General features: G+C 51.5%; 1 protein-coding gene across 27 annotated transcripts in view, besides 1 other annotated feature; it reads right to left on the bottom strand.

Moving 5' to 3' along the window:
* The window catches only part of GREB1 (growth regulating estrogen receptor binding 1), a 159,901-nt gene that overhangs the window by 42,914 nt on the left and 102,749 nt on the right, over window positions 1–14,238 (bottom strand). For 19 of the 27 annotated variants that reach the window (XM_047446466.1, XM_024453251.2, XM_047446468.1 and 16 more), the window contains exons 9-15: window positions 13,970–14,113; window positions 10,944–11,129; window positions 6,749–7,099; window positions 4,496–4,624; window positions 3,636–3,764; window positions 1,897–2,094; window positions 1,015–1,195 (exon numbers count right to left, since the gene is read on the bottom strand). In XM_047446466.1, coding sequence (XP_047302422.1) covers window positions 1,015–1,195; window positions 1,897–2,094; window positions 3,636–3,764; window positions 4,496–4,624; window positions 6,749–7,099; window positions 10,944–11,129; window positions 13,970–14,113 — 1,318 coding nt within the window. Of the gene's footprint in view, window positions 1–1,014; window positions 1,196–1,896; window positions 2,095–3,635; window positions 3,765–4,495; window positions 4,625–6,748; window positions 7,100–7,728; window positions 8,480–10,943; window positions 11,130–11,631; window positions 12,494–13,969; window positions 14,114–14,238 lie in introns of those variants that run through there. The other 8 variants (XM_047446474.1, XM_047446475.1, XM_047446473.1 and 5 more) reach the window with 2 other exon arrangements.
* Window positions 1,061–1,265: a silencer, noted in NCBI's record as "fragment chr2:11738736-11738940 (GRCh37/hg19 assembly coordinates)". NCBI's record gives its function as "represses an EF-1alpha promoter that drives an FKBP-Casp9 reporter gene in an ReSE screen in phorbol 12-myristate 13-acetate-treated (for megakaryocytic differentiation) K562 erythroleukemia cells {active_cell/tissue: K562(+PMA)}" and the evidence as "EXISTENCE:reporter gene assay evidence [ECO:0000049][PMID:32094911]".

Below are 14,238 nucleotides of genomic sequence, written 5' to 3'. Positions count from 1 at the left end.
TTTATGTTCATTTTAACTGAGTGAGTCAAATCACCCCTTAAGAAGGGCAGGCATCAGCCGGGTGCGGTGGCTCACGCCTGTAATCCCAGCACTTTGGGAGGCCGAGGCGGGCGGATCACGAGGTCAGGAGATCGAGACCATCCTGGCTAACACGGTGAAACCCTGTCTCTACTAAAAATACAAAAAATTAGCCAGGTGTGGTGGCAGGCGCCTGTAGTCCCAGCTACTCAGGAGGCTGAGGCAGGAGAATGGTGTGAACCCGGGAGGCAGAGTTTGCAGTGAGCGGAGATCGTGCCACTGCACTCCAAGCCTGGGCGACAGAGAGAGACTCTGTCTCAAAAAAAAAAAAAAAAAATACAAAAACGAAATTAGCTGGGCGTGGAGACAGGTGCCTGTAGTCCCAGCTATTCAGGAGGGTGAAGTGGGAGAATGGCATGAACCCAGGAGGCTGAGCCTGCAGTGAGCCGAGATCGCACCACTGCACTCCAGCCTGGGCGACAGAGTGAGACTCCGTCTCAAAAAAAGGAAAAAAAAAAAAAAAAGAAGGGCAGGCATCAGTGGTGACCCACGGTACCAGAGCCCCCACGGAGCCTCTTTCAGGGAAGGGCTAAGCTGAGCTACTCCTGCTAGGACCCTCCGCACCCCACACCAGCATGGCTCCTTGTTGCTGAGTGGACTATGAAAGAAACACATCAGGCATCAGGCTGTGATTCGGGGTCTCAGCTCTGCCACTAACACCCTCCCACTCCACCCCACCCTGTGACTCTGGGAGACACGCTTCCCTTCTCCAGCCCTTAAATTCCACCATGGTAAATTTCAGAGGTCACACTGGATAATCCCTGAGATAACTTCCAGCTCAAGATTGTGGGAAACCTCCATGGCATCTGCTTAGAAACACCAAGCCCAAACATCATCCATCTTTTCAGGATTTGTACCCTCAGCCCCCGGGAACATCCACATACATCACTTCAAAGAAGGAAAATGTCAACTTGTCATATATCAAGTCAATCTAACCTCACAAGATCCCAGTGCGCATGGTCATGGATTAGGACAAAAAGTGTATGCGGGTTCTGGAAGGAGTTTTGCAGAAAAGCCTTAAATTTTGTCTGTGCCTCCGTGTCTAGCTTCAGAACATACTGTTCCACCCTCTGCTTCGTCATGTGCTCTTTCTTCAGACCAAGCTCCAGCAAAACCCCTGCAACACAAAGAACATACATCAGTAACTGCAAACATGCGCACTGGGTTTCATTCACTCAACAGACACCTGAGGAGCGACTCCTACACAGCAGGTCCTGAGCTAGACTCAGAGATGCAAGAGCAGGGAAAGGAAGGGAAAAAACTCCCACACAGGTTACAGCTGCATAACTGTCCTGCACAGGAGCTGGGGCGCAGGCAAGCCTTGGCTGTGTGTACAGCAGCCCTCCCGAGGGGCACCAGCTTCATGAAGCAGCTGATCCCAAGCATGGTAAGACAGAGGGAACCGAAAGGTCCTGCCAGCAGCAAAATCCCTCTCTCAGTCTGAATGCCACAGGGCGATACATGACACCACTAAAGAGTGAGTCCTTTCAGTGAAGACACCGGACATCTGTGTACTCTGTGGTTAAATATGATATCCTTGAAAGTACAAGGATATCAGTGACGCTAGATAGCAACATGTGGTTAGGTCACTAGCCTGAGTGGGACATGGTGAAAGTTCAAGTTTTGGCTCTACCTTCAACAGATCCTAAAATCTTGGGCAAGTCACTGTCTCTGAACATCAGTTTCACAATCTATAAAACAAGAGCAGCAATACTTGCCCTATTCACTCTATAGCAAAGAACAGTGTCAACACCCACACATGGATTTCGGCAGATCAAAGCTTCTCCACACGTGACTTCTCCCCAAAATGCCCCATACCTGAATGCCACACATGGAGCAGAGTCTGCTGGTAGGTCACTTCTGAGGGGGGAATGCAAATGAGAAAGTCCACCTTCTCAAAGGATCCCAGGTCCAGATTTTGGGTGCTGGAATCCGCAATGGAACACACATGGGAGAGGAGCTTCTGCGCTACTGCCAGCTGGAAGGGCCGGATGCTGTGTGGCTCCAGATTGTAACCTGGAACCAGAGCCCCAGGATGCCAGGTGAGCTCCAGGGCACACGGCTACTGCCAGGCCCTTGGCCAGAGAATCAGTGAGACCTGTCCAGGGGAGACGGCCCCATTCACAAAGCGATGAGGGAAAGGGGAATAACTCACGTTTATCAAGTCCCTGCTCTCAGCTAAGCAGTGGCGGGTGTGGGGGTAGCAATCATTTTATGCACCATCTTTCACTTAATAATAAAAATAAGAACCAAGCACTTGGGGAGCACAGTGGAGGCAGTGGTCTCTTCTGCTTAGAGGGGACAAGGAGCCTATCCCAGGGGAGGTGATGCTGAGACTGGACTCTGGAAGAGGACTGCAAACTCTCCAGAAAAGAAAACTAACACGACAGTCATTTAGGAACTCTGTATGAATAAAAAACATCAGCAACAGACTCAGAGGCAGGAAATTGGCATAGAAAAATCTATCACCTCAGAGACAGTGATGGATGTGCAATTCAAGATTAAATGAGATTGTCATAATTAAAGACTGAATTTTAAATTAGGTATCAGGTCTACTGTGACACTAAAAGATGTCCTGTCTTGTGGATGTGCCTCTGACATTGCTACCTCCAATCTGAGTCCTTGGATGCTGCCTCCCAGGCCAGACCGAGGCCCTCGCCAGTGCCCTCTCATCGCCCACCGAGCACACATGAGCCCTCTGTCCCCTCAGCACCCACTTAGCACACCTGTGCCCACTGCCCTCTCTCACGGTGCACACCTGTGCCCATTGGCGCCTCTCACTGCACACAGCTATGCCCACTGCCCCATGTCACTGAGCATATCTGTGCCCCTGCCCACTCTCACGGTGCACACCTGCGCCCCCGCCCCCTCTCACTGTACACACTGGTGCCCCCACCACTCTCACTGTACACACCGGTGCCCCCACCCCTCTCACTGTACACACCAGTGACCCTGCCCCCTTTCACTGTACACACCTGCAATCCTGCCCCCTGTCACTTTACACACCAGTGCCCCACCCCCCTCACTGTGTACACCTGCGCCCCCACCCCCTCTCACTGTACAAACCAGTGCCCTACCCTCTCTCACTGTACACACCTGTGCCCCACCCCCTCACTGTACACACCTGTGCCCCCACCTACTCTCACTGTATACACCTGCAGCCCCGCCCCCTCTTACTGTACACACCAGTGCCCCACCCCCGTCACTGTACACACTGGTGCCCCCACCCCTTCTCACTGTGCACACCTGTGCCCCCACCCCCTCACTGTGCACACCTGTGCCCCCACCCCCTCACTGTGCACACCTGTGCCCCACCCCCTCACTGTGCATACCTGTGCCCCCACCCCCCTCACTGTGCACACCTGCGTCCCTGCCACCTCTCACTGTACACACCTGTGCCCCGTCCCCCCTCACTATACACATCTGTGCCCCTGCCCCCTCACTGTGCACACTTGCGCCATGGCCCCTCTCACTGTGCACACCTGCGCCCACTGACCCTGCCCCTCATCACTACTTTGTACCCTCTCCACCCTGGGAGATTCCTTTTCACCACTCACTTGTGCACACCGGTGTCCCACTGACATCCAGGGATGCTGCTTTAGTGACAGAAGAGGCAGCGAGTGAGGAAGAAATATGGCCTTGATTTTCCTGGTGAAATTTGTCCAGCAAAATGTCAATGTCACCCTCTGCCCAAGACAGAATAAACAAATGGGTTTTTGATGTCAGTGAAATTCAGCAAACATCTACAGCGCAGTTAGTGTCAGGTACTGTCCCGAGGCCTGGAGTCATGAAGGTAAAGAGGAGGACATGGCCCGTCCTGTCAAGGGGTCTCAGCCTAGTCAGGATGAAGACACACTGCCAGAGTGAGCTCCCCCCACACAGACATAGCAGGTGCTAGGGCAGAAGGAAGAACAACATGGTAAAGGATGAAGGGGAAGGTCCCAAGCCCATCTGGAAAACGAAGGGTCTGAGAAGCTTTCTAGGGGGACATGAGATGAGTCTTGAGGGGTGGGTAGCTAGGCCAACAAGGGAGAAGGATGCTCACAGCCCAGAGCACGAGGGATGCGGAACTCTCCAGCAAAAAGGGGAGACAGGGAAGAGAGGCCACCAAGGCTGGAAAGGTGGAGAGGAACAGGCACAAGGGCCTTGTGTACCCCATGAAGAAGAACCCACAAGGTGCCCTCCACCTCTCAGGAGAACTCTACAGCTCAAGCAGGAAGAGATGGCCAGCCAGAACCCGCAGCTGTCACTCAAGAAAAGAAAGGGACAGAAGTGCAAGTGCACAGAATGAGGGGCACTCTGCAGTGGAGGCCAGCCTTAGCAGGTCACAGGCAGGGTGAGGCAGAGATGACCTCCCCCGGCACTGATTACTGTCCTATTAACATACGCATGTGCACCTGTCTCACGACAAGCCTACCTGGACAGAGGGTGCTAAAGAAGGCCCCCAGCGAGTCTACCTTCCCCGTAACCAGCTCGTAATTGACTTCCTTCTGGTACTCCGCAGGAGTGAGAAGGCTCTCGGAAAGAATCCGGGCTTGGTATTTTCCTGGAAAGCAAACAGATTTCACAGTACCCATTGTATCTTCCCTGCTTACGGGCTGTGTAGCCCTAGACTAGTCCCTTAACCCTTCTAGACTTGACATTTCCCATCTGGAATCTGTGGCTAACAGCTGGATCTACCTCCCAGGCCTGCTGTCAGGTGACACAAGACAATGGTGCCTGACACATGGCAGAGGCTCAGGGTCTACTACTGCAAGTCCCACTCACATCAAGGTAAATAATTTATTTAAAAAAAAAAAAAAAGGCCAGGCACAGTGGCTCACACCTGCCATCCCAGCACTTTGGGAGGCCGAGGCAGGCAGATCACAAGGTCAGGAGATCGAGACCATCCTGGCTAACACGGTGAAACCCCGTCTCTACTAAAAATACAAAAAAATTAGCCGGGTGTGGTGGCGGGTGCCTTGTAGTCCCAGCCACTCAGGAGGCTGAGGCAGGAGAATGGTGTGAACCCAGGAGGCGGAGCTTGCAGTGAGCCTACAAAGTGTCACTACACTCCAGCCTGGGCGACAGAGCGAGACTCTGTCTCAAAAACAAACAAACAACAACAAAAAACACAGAATGGGTTTAAGATTAAAGAACGCTGGTCGGGCACGGTGGCTCTTGCCTGTAATCTCAGCACTGTGGGAGGCTGAGGTAGGTGGATCATCTGAGGTCAGGAGTTTGAGACCAGCCTGGCCAACATGGTGAAACCCCATCTCTACTAAAAATACAAAAATTACCTGGGCATGGTGGTGCACGCCTGTAGTCCCAGCTACTCAGGAGTCTGAGGCAAAAGAATTGCTTGAACTTGGGAGACGGAGGTTGCAGTGAGCTGAGACTGCACCACTGCATTCCAGCCTGGGCAACAGAGCAAGACTCCATCTCAAAAAAAAAAGAAAAAAAATGCTAAAAGACAATTCAGACACTATACTTAAAAAGTACATTAAATGCCAGGCACAGTGGCTCATGCCTGTAATCCCAGCACTTTGGGAGACTGAGGCGGGTGGACTGCTTGAGCCCAAGAGTTTGAGACCAGCCTGGGCAACATTGCAAAACCCTGTCTCTACCAAAGTACAAAACTGAGCTGGGTGTGGTGGTGCACACCTGTAGTAGTTCCAGCTACTCCGGATGGAGGCTGAGGCAACAGAATCACTTGAGCCCGGGAGCTCGATACTGCAATGAGCCAAGATCTCGCCACTGCACTTCAGCCGAGGTGACAAAGCAAGACCCTGTCTCAAAAAAAAAGTGCATTAAATTCTGCACTTTTAAAGTAAATTTTACAAGGTACAAAAAATTCTGGCTGAAAATGCACAACACTTGTGAAGATTTAAGCAGGCCAGGAAAGCTCACGTGTTTGGTGTCTGCCTCCCCCACCTAAAAGAACACTCCAGGCAAGTAGAGACTGCTCTGCTCCCTGTGGGCCCCCAGCCTCTAGAACAGTGGCTGTACATGTGGGGCCTCAATGGGTGTTTTTAAAATTAAATCAATTGGCCGGGCACGGTGGCTCACTCCTGTAATCCCAGCACTTTGGGAGGCCTAGGCAGGTGGATCACTTGAGCTCAGGAGTTTGAGACCAGCCTGGGTGACATGGTGAAACCCCATCTCTATCAAAAAATACAAATTAGCTGGGCGTGTCCCAGCTACTTGGGAGGCTGAGGTGGGAGAATCTCTTGAACCTAGGAGGTAGAGGTTATAATGAGCCAAGATCAGGCCACTGCACTCCAGCCTGGGCAACAGAGTGAGACCTTGTCTCAAAAAATTAATTGGCTCCTGAACACAGACAACACAACAAGGGCATTGTTTCTTATCTCCAATAGATCAGTGAAGAAACAGGGCCATCCTGGTGTGAGTGACCACCCACGTGGTGGAGCCAGGTTTTCAACAGGGTCTTTCCACATTCCCAAGCTGACCCCAGGGCTAACCTCACCAGCCACTCAGAGCAGGGATGAGATTGTAACTAAGTCACTAGTCAAGGCTGCCTTCTGAAGCCAGCTACTGAGCACAAACCGCAGGTGCTAACTGCTGCTGCAAACCCGGGCCACCCTAGACAGAAAGGGAGAGAACCACCAAAGGAGGGGACCGGGAACACCGTTCAGGGGGCTTTCCCGCAGCCGCGCGGCCCAGAGCTCACCGGTGACGGCGATGCAGGAGTCGATGGCCGCGCTGCGGCAGGCGCAGATGATGACCACGTAGTTGGTCTTGGCAAGCTTGCCCTCGACCAACAGCCGGAACATCTCGGAGAGGCCCTCGGCCAGGGAGTAAGCACACTCGATGACGTGCACGCTGTCGTTGCAGGAGCTGGCGGCCAGGCTGGCCAGCCAGGGCAGCTGCGCGGAGGTCACGGGTGCCGCGGCGCTGGGCGCGGGCGGGAAGGGCTGCGGCGGCGCCTGCTGGTACTGCCGGATCTCGGTCAGGTGCGACTCGCGCCAAGAGCGCAGGAAGATCTGCTCCAGGTCCTCCATCAAGGGCACCTGGTCCGCGGCTGCAACACAATGCGGGCGGAGGGCCTGCCACAAATGCCAGCGGCATCCGGGGACGCACGGGTGCAGTGATGTGAAAGTACCCACCTAAGTTATTACTGTGAAATCGTATCACAGATGGCTGGAGCACGAGGGGAGGGCATAAAATCCGCCACAATCTCACCACCGTCCTAACAGAGCCACGCTATTTACGTGTATTTCTCAGTCTTTTTTTCCATATGAAAGTTTTTTTTTAATTATAAGATGATTTGTACATTTATCTTTATTTTTAAGATTAAGCATCCTCTTTGACAATCCAGAAACATAGTCCTTGCTCACTCTTTGGCCACACACACCTAAAACAGTTAAACGTGATTCCTCAATTTTCAATGACAAAGTAGGAAAAAAGAATATGTCCTCAAGCTGCAGTTCAATTTTTCTGTCCTCTTTTTAAAAAAAAAAAAAAAAATCTTACTTTGCTACCAAGCCACTCACCAATTATAAGTTGGAAAGACAATTTTTCAAAAAGCCAACAAAACCCAGAAAAAGGAATAAGTATCAATCCAGAATTATCACCCAAAACACTGCTGTTGTTAAAAAAAAAAAAAAAAGAAAAAAAAAAGTAGGAAGCCAAATTCCCATAGCTTGTTAGAGAAGGTCTTTAAACAGAATTCAGAAAGTTAGGACTGGAACTACGGTGGTATAGACAGGTTACACTGTCCCTATGTGCATATACAGTGGTAAATGTGTAGAACATTCAGCCTGGGAATATAGGCTTTCTCCTACTCCAGGACAGGGAATAAAAACATGTATTGCTGGAATTAGTATTAAAACTGTCCTTACAAATAGCTGCAATGATTGTCAGTATAAACTTTGGGTCTTGCATTCTTTCCTTAACCATGACCCTATCATCAGTTTCAGTGCCATTTTCAGCCAACATAAAGAGTGCTGTTAGTGTGTCCATAATGTCCCATCATACGTGAGCACCACCGTTTACTTAGCAAGGTCTCTATTGTGGATTCTCTTATTTCTTCCAAATATTCACCTTTATAAATCCCTCTGCAATGCACATCTTGACATATAGAACGTTACTTCCTTCGCCTAAATTCTCAAAGGTGGATTTACAGAACCAGCTACTACATATCATCAGATTGCTTCCCAAGAGCCTGAATGCGTCAGTTTACCACGCGAACGGTGCATCGGACAAGCGCTGGTTTTACCGCACCTAAGCACCACTGGGTACCATCATTTGGGTTATTAATTCAGAAAAAGATGACTTGATTTGTGATTTGCATGTCTTTGATGATGAGTGAGACTGAATACTTTTCAATATTTGTTTCCTTCTGGTATTTTCTCTTTTATGAATTGTCTGGTTTATACGTCCGGATTTCGTATTTGATGTGCTGGAAGAAAGTGCGTCAGGCTTCCATTTAGAAGGTGGGTTCCAGCCCAGCTCTACCCAGCACCAGCTGTGCGGCCCTGAGCTATCTCCCATGGTTTCCTGATGCATAACACGGGGTTCATGACACCTGCTCTGTGGGCCGTGCCAGAATTTGATTAAATTAGCTTATATCTCCCTCTTTGATTGGATGCATTTAATCAGAATTCACTACTTGAATTAGCTAATCAAATTAGAATTTAATTAGATTAGCCGTTATCTCTCTCATCTTTAAAAACTTTCCTTTGAGTCCACATCTCCTTCCAGAACTAACCCCTACCCAGAGCTGTCTGCACGGGCCATACTGTCTCTTCACCTCCAATCTCTCTAACCCACTCCAATATGACTTTTATCTCCAATCTTCACATACATCATCATCAAGGTTGCCAGCCGCTTCCCATGGCCAAACCCAATGGTCAGGGTCCAGTCTTCCCTCCACTCAACTCCCGGCCACACTGGCACAGTTGATCAGCCCCTCTCCTTGGGATCAGCCCCTCTCCTTGGGAATGCTTTTTTTCACTGCTTCTTATCAACATTCACCCATTCCTCAACTATTCCCTCAATATAGGTTGGCAGACTGTTGACTTCAGCTTCAGATGCTATGGGACATCGGGAAAAGGACTCACTCACCATGCCTGGCCTCATGGAGCTTACACCCTAGCTGGGGGAGACACACTTAAAGGGAACAATCACAGACCCTAATTCCTGGTGCCTAAAGATAAAGGGCATAGGATAGGGGCCCGGAGGGTGGGAGCTGTCTTACACACAGTAACAAGAAGGTCTTGCTGAGGAGATGATGAGTGACCCAAAACCTGAAGGACATAAGGGAGCAAGCCACACAAATGTCTTTGGCAAGAGCATGCCACAGGGAAGGAACAGCAAGTGTGGGATGCCCAGGTGGGACCAAGATTGCTGAGGGGGACAGTGGGCTGGGACAGAGCAAGCAGGTGGGACCAGGAGGCAGGCTGGGCCCCCGGGAAGGGGTGGAGTGAGCGACTGATGGGAAGCCGCGGCAGGGCTCTGAGCAGGGAAGAGATGCAATCGGAGTCCAAGTTCTCAGGGATGTGGGGAACAGGGCAAGAATGGTGCCCCGGTGAGGCGGCAGCCACAGAGAGGGTGAGCGAGGCTGGATTCAGGATGAAGCCGTGCTTACTGATGGACAGGTGGGGACTATGAGAAAGAGCGACAATGCTGGGTTTCCCAGATTCTCCACTGTCCTTTCCTTCCTTCCCACCCATTCCATCTCAGTCGCCTCCTCTGGATCTCTGAAGATTGGAGGTCCCCAGGCCCAAACCTTGGCACTTTCCTCTCCTCGTAGCCACCCGCAGCTGGTCTCACGGCTTTAATATAAGTCATCTGTAAGCCAGTGTGTCTTAAATGTATACCTAGAGCCTCCACCTCTCCTGGGACTCAAGGCCTGTCCATGCAAATGAACACAGGCGACTTGACTGTCTCGTGGGCATCTTGTACAAACTCACGCCAAGACAGAACTCAGGTTCATTGCCACCATTCACCTGGCTGCTCAGGCTGAAACCCAGGCCCCATCTGCTCCCACCCCCTTCAAAGGCATTTCCAGCCGGCCTTACCTTCAGAATAGCCCCTCCAGCTCACTGCTGCCACCTTCAGTGGCTCAAGCCACTGTGTGCCTTTAATAGGCAACAACTGACTCTTTCTCCATTTCCGCCACTGCGTCTGCCCCATCTGACTCCACATAGCCGCCAGGGTGGCGTTTTTAAAGTGAAAATCAGATCACCTCCATCCCCTGTCTAAAAATACTCCAATGGCTTCTCAATGTGTCTACATAGAATCACACCCTTGACCGGAGCCGGCCCCCTCTGACCACACCTCTCACTCACACCCTCTCTCTGCTACAGCTACGCTGGCCTCTCCAGCGACTGGGACACTCACTGCTCCTCCACCTCACAGCACTCACCTGGCCTCCCTCTCTCCCCAGGGCCCCACCTGTCCTCATTCCTCAGATCATCACAAGGCTGAATCCTTCTCAGGGTCCAGGTCTCCTATTCACAGAGGCCTTTCTTCATGACCTAAACTGACCCCATACAAACACACACTAATGCATGCACCCATCTTTACCTGCCTGTTTTCCACTGGTTTATTGCTTCTCTCTCCCACTAAGACTAGAATCGCCTCAAGGACAGGGTCTTTGCTCAATTCCCTGCTGTATCCCTGTGCCTAGAATGGCAGATAAAGAGTTCTGGAAATGTCTCCATCAACCTCAACCTACTTTCAGCCCCCCAGTGTGGGGACGCCCACAGTGACTTCATGACGTCCCGCCAGTGAAGCCATAAGCTCTCCCCATGTATTTCAATTCCAGCAGCCCAAGTCAGCCCCCACGAGGGCCGAGGCCAGGTCTGTGCTCGGGCTGTGGCCACTCCCTGCCACTGGGCCAGGAGGTGGAGGTGACTCACCCAGCTGGACCAGGTAGTAGACGGTAAGCAGGAGCTGCATCTCCTCGGAGATGGGCTGGATGGCAGAGGCGCCGTACTGCTCGTATGCCCGTGAGACAGACTGGGAATTCTGGTAGCACGTGTACAAGAGGGGGCTGACCACGACGTCATTCAGGTTCCCACAGAGGTAAGGGAAGTTCCCATGGCCTGCAGAGGAACAGCAGCGACTTGGCACCCAGTCTTGTGCACAGCTTACGGTCCCATACATGTGGGTTCTCTGGGGGTGAGGGCACTGAAGGAGATAGGTGAGCTGCGCCAGGTCCCTCGAGTGCCCTGTCCTGGGAAGCCTTGCTCATTGAGTGCACCTGCTCACCCTCCTGGAGCCTAGGATGAGAGGAGTCACCTTTTCTAACCAATGGGGCTGTGCCACTTGCTGGTTCATTTCGTCCAATCCTCTTATTTTTTACAAGTGAGGGGGCTGGAGGGAGGGACTTGCCCAGAGCCAAGCAGCCGCCACCTGTCACTCCTCCAGCACCACCAATGGGACACCTTGTGGGCAGAGCACCTTCCAGAGCTTCACTGGGTGCTGCCTGCCAGGTCTTGCCTCCCTGACTCCAAGCAGGGAGGATTCTGCCCTGCATTCTCCCAGGGCTGTCTGGCAAGGTGAGTTGGGACAATATATCACCACAGAGACCAGAAGACTGAGTCATTCTTTTTTTTTTTTTGAGACAGTGTCTTGCTCTGTCCCCGGGCTGGAGTGCAGTGGCGTGATCTCGGCTCACCACAACCTCTGCCTCCCAAGTTCAAGTGATTCTCCCACCTCAGCCTCCCGAGTAGCTGGGATGACAGGTGCGCATCACCACCACACCCGGCCAATTTTTGTATTTTTAGTAGAGACAAGGTTTCACCATGTTGCCCAGGCTGATCTTGAACTTCTGACCTAAAGTGATCTACCCGCCTCGGCCTCTCAAAGTTCTGGGATTACAGGCGTGAGCCACCGTGCCCAGCCCATCAGAAGATTCATTCTGAGGACAGCCCTCAGAGGTGGAATTGCCCAGGTCGGGTTCAAATATCTTTCCACCATTCTTTACCTACATGATGCTAAGCAAGAAGCTTAACTGCCCTAAACCTCAGTCTCCGCATTTGTAAAACCAGGTGAAGCGGTGAAGCTATCAAATCCTCTCGGGGCTGCTGAGCTCCCAAAGGTGGCGTGTGTGTGTGTGTGTGTGTGTGTGTGTGTGTGTGTGTGTGTGTGTGTTATCTTGTACTCCAGGTACTCCATTTAGTCACCAAAAATATATTTTCTGACTTCGGCTGTGTGTTATATGCAGATGTCCTGCTGGGCTCGGGGAGTAAAGCTGGTGCCTGGGGCACAGGTCACGTTCTCAAAGACACTGCTTCTCAAGGGCTTGCCAAACACTTGCTGGTGCCACCCAGGGCTTCTGATGCAGAAGTGGGGCCTGATTCTGATTCCAGGATGGGTCCATGAATTCACGCCTCTCATAAGCTCCGGGGCGATGCAGGTTCTGCCGGACCAAGGGCTACCATTTGGGTAGCACCATTTACAAATACTGCAGTGGGCAAGAGGCAAGGTAAAGAGTTGCTATAAAGGCAAGTATGTGACATTTGTCATAAAAGAGGGACAGAGAAGTGACAAGGGGGGCAGAGGAAAGGGAATCTAAGACAACTTCATGGAGAAGGCACAGAGCTGAGTCTTAAGGCCTCAGGAGGGCTTGGACATATGGCTGTGGGGAGCAGGAGTCCGGGAGACGAGGGCTTTACAGCGAGGGGTGCAGTGTAAACAGAGAGGCAGCGGAGGGAGCAGAGCACGCCTGAGAACCGAGAGGACAGTCTCTATTCTGAGATTGCTCGTGTGAGACGTAGACTTGCTGGGCTTTCTTTTCCGAGGTTCCTGGCTCAAAGCAGAAGCAGGTGACGCCCTGCCTGCACCTCCAAGCCCTGCACCCTGTCCTAGCTCTGTTTCCTGAGCACCGTGGTCTTCGGGCCTACCACAGACACGCCATGGCCACGTAAAAAAACACACACAACATGACTGAAAGAATGTTGGTCTTCATTTGAGGTAGACAGTGGGGCCCAGTGGAACTGCCTCGGTCATTGGTCCTGCGTCATGCTAAGGTCGAAACTCAGAGTTGCACTCTACTTCCTGAATACCCCGTCCAGTTTTTGTGTTTTAGGAAAAAGACATGCTCTTTCTTATTTCTTAATTAACAGTAGGGTGCTTCTCTCACTTTCCTACAATCCTCTCTACTCTATCTACAAGCATGATACCAAATGCAATAATAACGTATTTAAGAGGGGCCTGCGTGCACGGTGTGTGTGTGCCGTGCCCACGCGTGTATGTATGTGTGTGTTGCCATGTGCCAGCCATTCTGGTGCCTACATATCACCAGCCAAGCCCTGCTGAATCCCCCCAGGGTTTCCCATTGCAACATCCCCAGCTTCATCAAAGAGATTTCTTCAGCTGAGCCAAAAGTCTACCCCCACGTAGCGTACGTTAGCCCACTGCACAAAACAGATCAAATCTAATTTTGTTTGATGCTTCTACAGTGGTGACCACGGCTATCTTTGCCCAACCAAAGTAGATTTCATAGTCAAAAAATACTAGTGGCGTGGGTGATAACAGGAGACAACCCACCAGAGCGGAGCTCCTGCAGCCAGGGAGTGATTTGTTTTTTCCTAATCTTCGGCACTCAGCACCGGGTCTGGGACCACGGCAGAAGCTCAATGAAGCTGAGCAAACGAAGGAAAGAATGAGTGAACAGGCAAATAGACTTCATGGCAGGGAATCATTTCACCTGGACCCACTGTGGAAAGTTGTGACAAGCTCCATCATTCTTGGCATCTGATCAGGGGCTGAGCTAGTGACTGGCTCTGCCTTGTTCTTTCCTTGCCCTGGAAAGCATTTTAGGTTTGTCTCAGGAGGATACCCTTGGAGTCAGACCGGGATGAGGTCTCGCTTTTGCCTGTTTCTCATGCCTTCCTTTAGGTTCTCCCATCCCCACGACTCGGTGCACTGCTGTACTTGCCTTTAAATATCACTGGCTTGGCCTTGCATATTTTCAGCAAGTTGTCAGGAACAGACACTGGTTCTCCAGAGGCCACCACTGGAAAGGTGACTGAAGCTGGTCCCACCAAGCCAACCTGCGGCACGCAGGACATGCCTGCGCTCTCTAGGAACACCCAAGAATATTAGTGAAAACATCAGACAAGGCATCCACCTCTCACATACCTGACATCAGGCCAGCCAGCAAATCTGCTACCCTCTGACCAACGTCCCTGATTACAGGAGCACCAA

The sequence above is a fragment of the Homo sapiens genome, chromosome 2, assembly GCF_000001405.40.
Source record: "Homo sapiens chromosome 2, GRCh38.p14 Primary Assembly".
In the NCBI taxonomy this organism is placed as follows: domain Eukaryota; kingdom Metazoa; phylum Chordata; class Mammalia; order Primates; family Hominidae; genus Homo; species Homo sapiens.
Note: the sequence above shows the minus strand (reverse complement) of the source record. Positions and strands in the feature narration are given on the sequence as shown.